Below are 9083 nucleotides of genomic sequence, written 5' to 3' on the forward strand. Positions count from 1 at the left end.
CCAAATCCAGCAGCACATCAAAAAGCTTATCTACAATGATCAAGTTGGCTGCATACCTGAGATGCAAGGCTGGTTCAACATACACAAATCAGTAAACGCAATCTATCACATAAACGGAACCAATGATATAAACCACATGATTATCTCAGTAGATGCAGAAAAAGCTTTCAATAAAATTCAACACCCCTTCATGCTAAAACTCCCAATAAACTAGGTATGATGAAATGATCTCAAAATAATAAGAGCTATTTTTGACAAAACCCACATCCAATATCATACTGAATGGGCAAAAACTGGAAGCATTCCCTTTGAAAACTATTTAACGTAGTATTCAAAGTTCTGGCCAGGGCAATCACACAAGAGAAAGAAATAAATGGGATTCAAATAGGAAGAGAGGAAGTCAAATTGCTTGTTTGCAGGTGACATGATTGTATATTTAGAAAACCCCATCGTCTTAGCCCCAAATATCCTTAAGTTGATAAGCAATTCAGCAAAGTCCCAGGATACAAGATTGGGACTGTGCAAAAATTGATGTGCAAAAATTACAAGTATTTACATATACCAATAATAGACAAACAGCGAGCCAAATCATGAGTGAACTGCCATTCAGAATTGCTAAAAAGAGAATAGAATACCTAGGAATAAAACTTACAAGGGATGTGAAGGACTTCTTCAAGGAGAACTACAAACCACTGCTCAAGGAAATAAGAGAGGACACAAACAAATGGAAAAACATTCCATGCTCATGGATAGAAAGAATCAATATCATGAAAATGGCCATACTGCCCAAAGTAATTTATAGATTCAATGCTATCTCCATCAAGCTACCATTGACTTTCTTCACAGAATTAGAAAAAAGTACTTTAATTTCAAATGGAACCAAAAAAGAGCCCCTATAGCCAAGACAATCCTAAGGAAAAAGAACAAAGCTGGAGGCATCACGCTACCAAACTTCAAACTATACTACAAGGCTAAAATAACCAAAACAGCATGGCACTAGTACCAAAACAGATATGTAGACCAATGGAACACAACAGAGGCCTCAGATATAAACCTACACATCTACAACCACCTAATATTTGACAAACCTGACAAAAACAAGCGATGGGGAAAGGATTCCCTATTTAATAAATGGTATTGGGAAAACTGGCTAGCCATATTTAGAAAACTGAAACTGGATCCCTTCCTTACACCTTAACTCAAGATGGATAAAAATTAACTCAAGATGGATTAAAGACTTAAACATAAGACCTAAAACTCCAAAAATCCTAGAAGAAAACCTGGGCAATACCATTCAGGACATAGCCATGGATAAAGACTTCATGACTAAAACACTAAAAGCAATGGCAACAAAAGCCAAAATTGACAAATGGGATCTAATTAAACTAAAGAGCTTCTGCACAGCAAAAGAAATTATCATCAGAATGAACAGGCAACCTATAGAATGGGAGAACATTTTTCCAAGCTATCCATCTACTAAAGACTAATATCCAAAATCTACAAGAAACTTAAACAAATTTATGAGAAAAACAAACAACTGCATCAAAAAGTGGGCAAAGGATATGAACAGACGCTTCTCAAAAAAAGACATCTATGTGGCCAACAAACATATGAAAAAAAGCTCATCAATTTACTTCTTATGTACTTAAAATCTTAAGCATGTGGTTTCTCTTTCAGTGAGAAAGGATAATGTGGCTGTTTGATGAAGACTGAGCATTTGACAATATGTGATATTTGAGACAATCTAATGGAGCCATAATTTACAAGAGAATCCTAAGCATAGCAATTCTGTGTTTGAATTCTGACACTAGACTGGCTGGGTACAATTCAGGCATCACAACTTATGAGCTGTGTGTTTTTGAGCAAGTCTTTTAATGGAAATGGTCCTTAATTCTATAGATTGCAAAATGAGAATAATACAAATCTCTCTCTTAATTCTATCATTTGCAAAATGAGAATAAACACATCCCTCATATTTTAGGTCTAATAAACCAGAAACACACCTGTTGTGTAAAATCTTTATGGTCCATGGCACACATATAGGATAATAAATATTGTTGAAAACAGAAGGTTTCTTTCTGTCCTGTTTTTAAGCTTTCACTCTTTCAGAGAAATCTCTTCCACATGTTAAAGTTACATTTTTGGTTTACATAGAAGGTAATCAGAAAAAAAATCAATTTAACTGTAGTTTGAGTATGAATTTATATATTCAAAAAACATACATTCAGAATCTATTTACTAGATTTTAATCTAGTGCTCCTAATATGTTGCCTCTTGTATTTAGTAGCAAAAAAAATGAATGTCTCTTCAGATAAAAAGCACAATATAACTAGGATCCACTTTTACTTTTCTTCTAGAAAATCTGTAACCAAATCAGTCCTTATATGAATAAATTAACTTATTCCAGTTACATAGTGACATCCACAACTTTGCTTCTAATAATCAATCTTATTTTCATTGTATTTTTAATTTTCCCATTTTGTTTTGTTTAATTTTACACTATATCACAATTAAAAGAGTATGAAGGATATTGACAAAATAAATCAACAACAGAGTTCAGCTATAATATAATAATACAATAACAGAGTTCAGTTCAAACATAAAATTGCTATTCTTAGCTAAAATGTGGAGTGGTATGAACGTAAACATACAAGTCCATTTTGTACAAGTTGATACTGCTATTGATAAAATTGTTGATGTATATTTAGTGTCTTCCTTTTTTCTTAACTATATATGTTTAAGGATTTTTAACAGTAAATGTATTTTTGTAATCTTGTAAACAGAGGTATATTAAATAAGTAACAATCAGCTTTTAGTGGGCCAAAATGCTAGCTGCTTGGTAGTGTTTGCTGATTTTGAGCTATCACAATGAAGTCACTAAAAGTGGTACTGAGAAGAGATGTTCAGTACCCTACTAGAAAATGGTGTTTCTAGTATAAAATGCAATAAACGTAAGTAACCTCAAGAGCATAGATAACACTAAAATGTATTAACATAATCAATACATAATTATTTAGAATTTATTACTCTTGCTTTAACATATCTGTTAGTTTATGTAATTTAATATTTAATCATGAGCATGTTCAACTCGCAAAATTCCTGAAACCCAGGCAGGTATAAGCCAATTGTAGCACACAATGGCTCACACATATCAATATACGTGTTTTAAGTACCTTTCAACTGAATATGTTTATACTTTCGCATATGTTTGCCCAAATTTCAAAAAATGCCTTTCAGTTCTCTTTCAGAATGACTATTTCAGATTTCAATTGGATTGAAACAATGACTTGGCATTCTCAAGGTATAAACCTCAGTTTTCCTCTGTTCTCTAAACTAATTTAGAGAAAGTAAATTGACTGTGGATAATTATTCAGTTTGACATCTCATATCTCTTTTAAACAAGCTGATGTGATGGAATTCCTGCTTTCACACAGGGCTGGGAAAACACAGTGCTAACAATAATAGGAAACCCATCCATCTCTAGGACATTATATATATATATATAATTTTAAGTGCTCCTAGCCACTTTCAGATAACACTACATTTGGAAAAAAGAGCAAGATACTTTTAGGTACTTAGTAACAAATGACAACACTTTACTGTCAGTGTCTGAACTTGGAGAAGGAGTGGGAATCAGTCACTGTTGGCAAAGTTCTACCACTTATATAAGTGTCCTCCATACTGGTTTTATGCAGTTAAAATAGGAGGAGAAGGAAAAGGAGGAGAAGGAGGAGGAGGAGAAAGAGAAAGAGAAGGAGAAAAGAAGAAGAAGAGGAAGAAGAAGAAAAGAAGAAGAAGAGAAGAAGAAGGAGGAGAATAATAGGAGGATGAAGATGAAGAAATGGAGGTTTAGGAGGAGGAGGGAGGAGAGTAGGAAGAGAAGAGGAAGAAGAAGAAGAAGAAGAAGAAGAAGAAGAAGAAGAAGAAGAAGAAGAAGAAGAAGAAGAAAAAGAAGGAGAAGGAGGAGGAGGAGGAGGAGGAGAAAGAAGAAGAGGAAGAAGAAGGAGAAAGAAGAAGAGGAAGAAGAAGAAGAAAGAGGAGGAGAAGAAGAGGAAGGAGAAGAAGCAGAGGAAGGAGAAGAAGCAGAGGAAGGAGGAGGAGGAGGAAGAGGAGAACGAAGAGGAGGAAGAAGAGGAAGGGGAGGGGGAGGGGAAGAGGAAGGGGGAGGGGGAAGAGGAGGAGGAGGAGGAGTTTTGGAGATGGGTACCTGGCAGGGAAGCTAGTGGAGTCATGTTAAGACAAGAAAGCTTCCAGTTTGACACTATTAGAGACGTCCTTTGAGGCTCAACTAGATTAATAGCTTCTTAAGGATGTATTGAAAAGTGTTATCATGTGAAACTTTCAAAACCAGACTTACAGTGTTAGGAAATATGTTGTAAGGAACTGTTCAAATTTAGCAGGGGAAACACTAAATGAACTAATAGTCCTTTTCCTCCTCCAAATGTAATAATGCTATAATTTGTGTATTTTGGCTCAATTAGAGCAGTTCACATAAGGTTTTTAAATCCTGTATTTTTTCCCCAGGTTAACATAATGTCTGCATTTAAGCACTAAATATTTTTAATGTGAAAACTTTCGGCTGAAGAAAATGGCTACTATTTGCTACAGGGTTTGAAGCCTTCTCTCTACTTAATGTTACTTTTACTGACACTTTAAATGAAAATAATCCAGCTATAAGGTACGTAGTTACTGAATAACAGTACTTAAAAATTATTGCTAAGACATTTGGTTTTATACTATTCATAACACTAGACCTGTCAACAATTATGACTGTCTTTAAAATTATTTGTATAAGAAAAACGTACAATTTATGTGTGGTTGTTTTATTTTGAAAATAAGTTACTTTATGTAAGAATAATTATACATGAATGTCAGATACACAAAAACAAAGTAAAAGTAGAAATGAGGCAATAATAAGATCATTCCAAAATGTACTTTTAATTACATTGTCATGGGATCCTTGGGTTATCGCTTCACCAGCTGGGAACCTCTGTGACCGGTGGCATCTCTGCCTGAGTTTTGCCTGGGTCCACTGGGCTCACTTTGCTCACTTGGCCTGACAGGCTGTGCTCGGCTGTGCTACTGGCCCAGATCTCACACCTGTCAAGGGCAAGCCAGGCGCAGAGTGGTGAGGAGTCTGGCCACTGCGCACAGACAGGCATGCCAGCTGTGGCAGGGTGGGCAGCTCCGGGTGCTGGAACAGGTGCCGGCTTCCTGCAGTGCTGCATTAGACCAGGCGTACTGCAAAAGAGGATGTCACAGCTGTGGCTTGAGGAGTTCCTAGGTCTGGGATCCCCAAAGGGCAGCAGCTCTTCTTTCCTTCTGTCTTCTCTGCTTCTCCTTGCTGGCAACTGACGAGCGCAGAGTGGGGATGTTGTTTCAACCCTGTTTCTATTAAAGCTCTTTCAGTCCCACCATTCAGCAGGTCCCAAGTTCTTGTCCCATGTCCAGGGAGAAAGAGGTAGGCAGGCAACTTGAGTGTGAGCAAGGTGAAGAGGTGCTTTAATGAGCAATGGTACAGCCCTTAGGGGACCCAAAGTGAATAGCTCCTTTCCACAGGCAGCTCATCCCAGCATCTGTGCAGCCCTCAGCAGAGAAAAGACCGACATTGGATAGCTCCTCTCCACAGGCAGGCCTTCCCATCCTCTGAGTCTGGCTAAATCCAGGCTCTTTAAGGAGGAAGGGCAAGCTGATTGGTCCATGGGCATCCATGGGCGTCTATGGGCGGCCCAGAAAAAGCACCAGAAGTTCTCACTGTAGTCTGCGGAACTGGCAGCCTGGCCCTGCGCTTTAGGCTGTCCCTGGCTTGAAGACGGAGCTTCATTAGGGGCCCATCCCTTTCTGCCCGGGGCTTGTCTGTCTCCTGCCGCCATTTATGGTGCCCAGGCTCTTCCTGCTGAGGGGTGCCTTCAGTCTAGAGATGAGCTGCCGTCAGCACCCCCTCATCCTTGCTCCCTTGCTCGTTGGGTCCAAGGTCCAGAAGGGGCCGAGACGCAGAGGACTGGTGTGTCAGCACTGCCCCGATCTCATGTACACTGGGCAGGGTTGGGACAGCACCCAGGCTTGGCCTCAACTTTGCTCCAAAATTGGAGTGGGTGCCAGAAGCAGGGAGAGGCCTTGCAGGGAAGCAGGCACTTCCAAGCCTGTGGGGACAGAGGGGTTTCCCAGGCCCCCAAGAGCACAGGGATGTCCGGGTCCGGAGCTGCAGCTGTGCTTGGGAGAGTGGGGCTCCCACCCTGCCAACTCAGACGGGGACGGGGCTTCCACCTGTTCCCAGCTCCCGCCAGCTCTGTAGAGCATGCAGCCCTGGCCGCACCTCCCCACTACAGCCAGCGTCTTCAAATCGGCTGCTCCAGACAGCCACCGCTGCCATTAACATGACTTCAATATAGGGCTATATTAAAAAGTATGGGGCTATAGCTACATCTTATCTATGAATAACAGCTTTAATCATGTACTTTATTTAGAATGGATAGCATTAGAAGAACTTTTCAAATCTTAAAGGAAGAAATGGGGAAGAAAGGAAGAAACGAAGGAAAGAAAGAAGGTAGGAAGAAAAGAGAGAAGAAGGTCCTAAATAATTATTACAGTTTTTATTCCCTTACATTGAGCAGGTGATGTCTGCTGTTATAGGTTTTTAAAGGAATGGCTAGAAAATCACAACTTTCAAGCCCTCGGCTTCTTCCTCTATAAAATGTGAAAAGCTGATTGGATGACCTCTAAGATCTTTTCCAAGCCTAAGTTATCATTACTTTACTAATATGGATAAACCAGATAATGTATCATAAATGCTGCCAATTTGAATTAACATTTTTATTTTTTAAAAAAATGATGATAATATAAGCACAGAACCTGAGTCTTATATTTCCTCTAGCTTCTCTCTTATTTTCTTTCTTTGCTTTCAATCAGGAACATCAGAAAAGTTAAATACACCTCTTTTTAAATAAGAACCTACCACTAAATTATTTTTCAGTTAACCATAATCTTCTTTCTATCCCTACCATTCACTAAAGTTGCTTCTGCTAAAATTACCCACCGTCTTCTAATTTCCTAATCCAATGAATACTTCTAAATTTGATCTTATTACTTTGTAGTATTTGATAATGTTAGTCTTGTCTAACCTTCTTAAACAGGTTTCTTACCCTGACTTCCTTTTCAACTTTGTACCTCAAAAACCTAGCCCAGTGCTTAGAAAAAAAAAAAAAAAGAAAGAAAGAAAAAGAAAAAGAAAAAAAAAGCTCTATCAAAATATTAGTTGAGTAAATGAAGTGCTAAGTGATTTTAAAACAATCCCTTCTCAAGTTAGTTTTGGTCATGTCATCCAAGATATGTTCTTCCTAAGCATTACGTTAATATTCAACAATGATACTCATCAACTAAAGAGTAAGGGATACCAAAATGACCTTTCAGTTTTTGCTTTTCATAACTTGGAATTTTGGTATATTTTTCCTACCTACTTGGGCTCCACCTTGGCTTCCTCTCTCTCCAGACTGTCCCAGACCTGGCACTGAGTGTGGCCGCTCAGCTTTCATCATTTGTTCTGGCCAGCGGAATGTTCCCTCTGATGCACCTCCCTTGGCTGGCTGTTGCTCCCTACTTTCATTTTCACTACGGGTACAGCCATTCACCAGCTTCCACTGGAAACATTTTTCCAGACATTCCTTTAGGATTAGTGCCATTTTCATAACTGGCCGCTGGGTTCTGTAACTATTTTTCATACTTCCCTATTCTCAAATTTGTCTTTTTCAGCTTTATAATGACAGTAAAGAGGTTTTTTTTTTTTTGCACATTACTTTGCTTTTATCCTTATGAAAAGCATGTATTTTATTTACTCTTGTGTAAGAAAACAATTTTTGCTCAATGTAACTTTCTATCTCTTGTTTTTCTATTTTTTCTTTCTGTTCGTATTTCTTCTTCTTGGGATTCTTCATAAAGAAGTGTTTTGATTTGACAAAAGTCTTAATCATGGTCTTTAAATTTAAAAAAAAGATTTATTTAGTCCTCAACCACAATGATAAGAGATTCTGTCTTTTCCACTTGAGATTACTTGTAAGCGACAATAAAAATGTATAGCCCTCTATGATTTCTATAAAATTTCTTGGGATATTAAACCCTGATTATCTTCTTTTATTGATTGAAATATGAGCTCAGTGTTGTCCTTTGATAAACTTCTTACCTTTTCCCACATTGTTCTTTTCACTTGGATTACAACTAGATGGGAAATAAAGGTGGAGTCTCCCCTCTTCCCAATCCCATTTGAAGTATCTGTGACTCCCTATCTCTGATTTGGAAACATATTTATTTTCCTCTGAATAAATTACCTACTGAAGAATTTTTCAGAAAATCAAAGTTAGTTTTTCAAAATCTGACTGTAGTAGAAAAGTTTACAGAATGGTAAGATTTACCGTGGTCTAGATGTCTTCTGTGTTCTTCTTGCAGTAAACTATCTGACTCTAGCGGCTTTCTTCCTATGCTGCTTTTCAAACACGTAAGAGCTGAAGACTCTCCAATAAAGTAACCATAGGAACATAGAGTTTTCTTTAAGTATTTCATTTCTCTAGAGTTTTTGTATGGGCTTGAAGTTATCTTAAAATAAAATATAATAATGAATGTAAATGATGAGTTGATGGGTGCAACAAACCAACATGGCATATGTACACCTATGTAACAAACCTGCACATTTGCACATGTACCCTAGAACTTAAGGAATAATAATTATATATATACATATATATATATAATAACTATAAGAAGTTTTATATAAGCCCCATGGTAACCACACACAAAAAATCTTCTATTAGATACATGAAAGGTAAAGTGAAAGTGATCAAAGGATACTGCTACAAAAATTCAACCAATTACAAAGTAAGACAGCAATACTGGAAGAAAGGAATCAAAGAACTACAAACATGCAGTAAATGATTTACAAAATAACAATAGTAAGTCCTTATATATCAATAATTATATGTAAACAGATTGGATTTTTCAATCAAAAGACATAAAATAATTGAATTGATAAAATGCCAAGATAAGGCAACATGCTGCCTTCAAGAGACTCACGTTAGACTTAAGGACACAAATAG

At 37.5% G+C, this 9083-nt stretch overlaps 1 annotated feature.

The window, feature by feature from the left end:
- Positions 5551 to 6445: an enhancer, noted in NCBI's record as "H3K4me1 hESC enhancer chr6:81973001-81973895 (GRCh37/hg19 assembly coordinates)". NCBI's record gives its function as "activates a minimal SCP1, AML or CMV promoter by ChIP-STARR-seq in naive H9 embryonic stem cells {active_cell/tissue: H9 hESC(naive)}" and the evidence as "EXISTENCE:reporter gene assay evidence [ECO:0000049][PMID:30033119]".

The sequence above is a fragment of the Homo sapiens genome, chromosome 6 (genome assembly GCF_000001405.40).
Source record: "Homo sapiens chromosome 6, GRCh38.p14 Primary Assembly".
Lineage (NCBI taxonomy): Eukaryota > Metazoa > Chordata > Mammalia > Primates > Hominidae > Homo > Homo sapiens.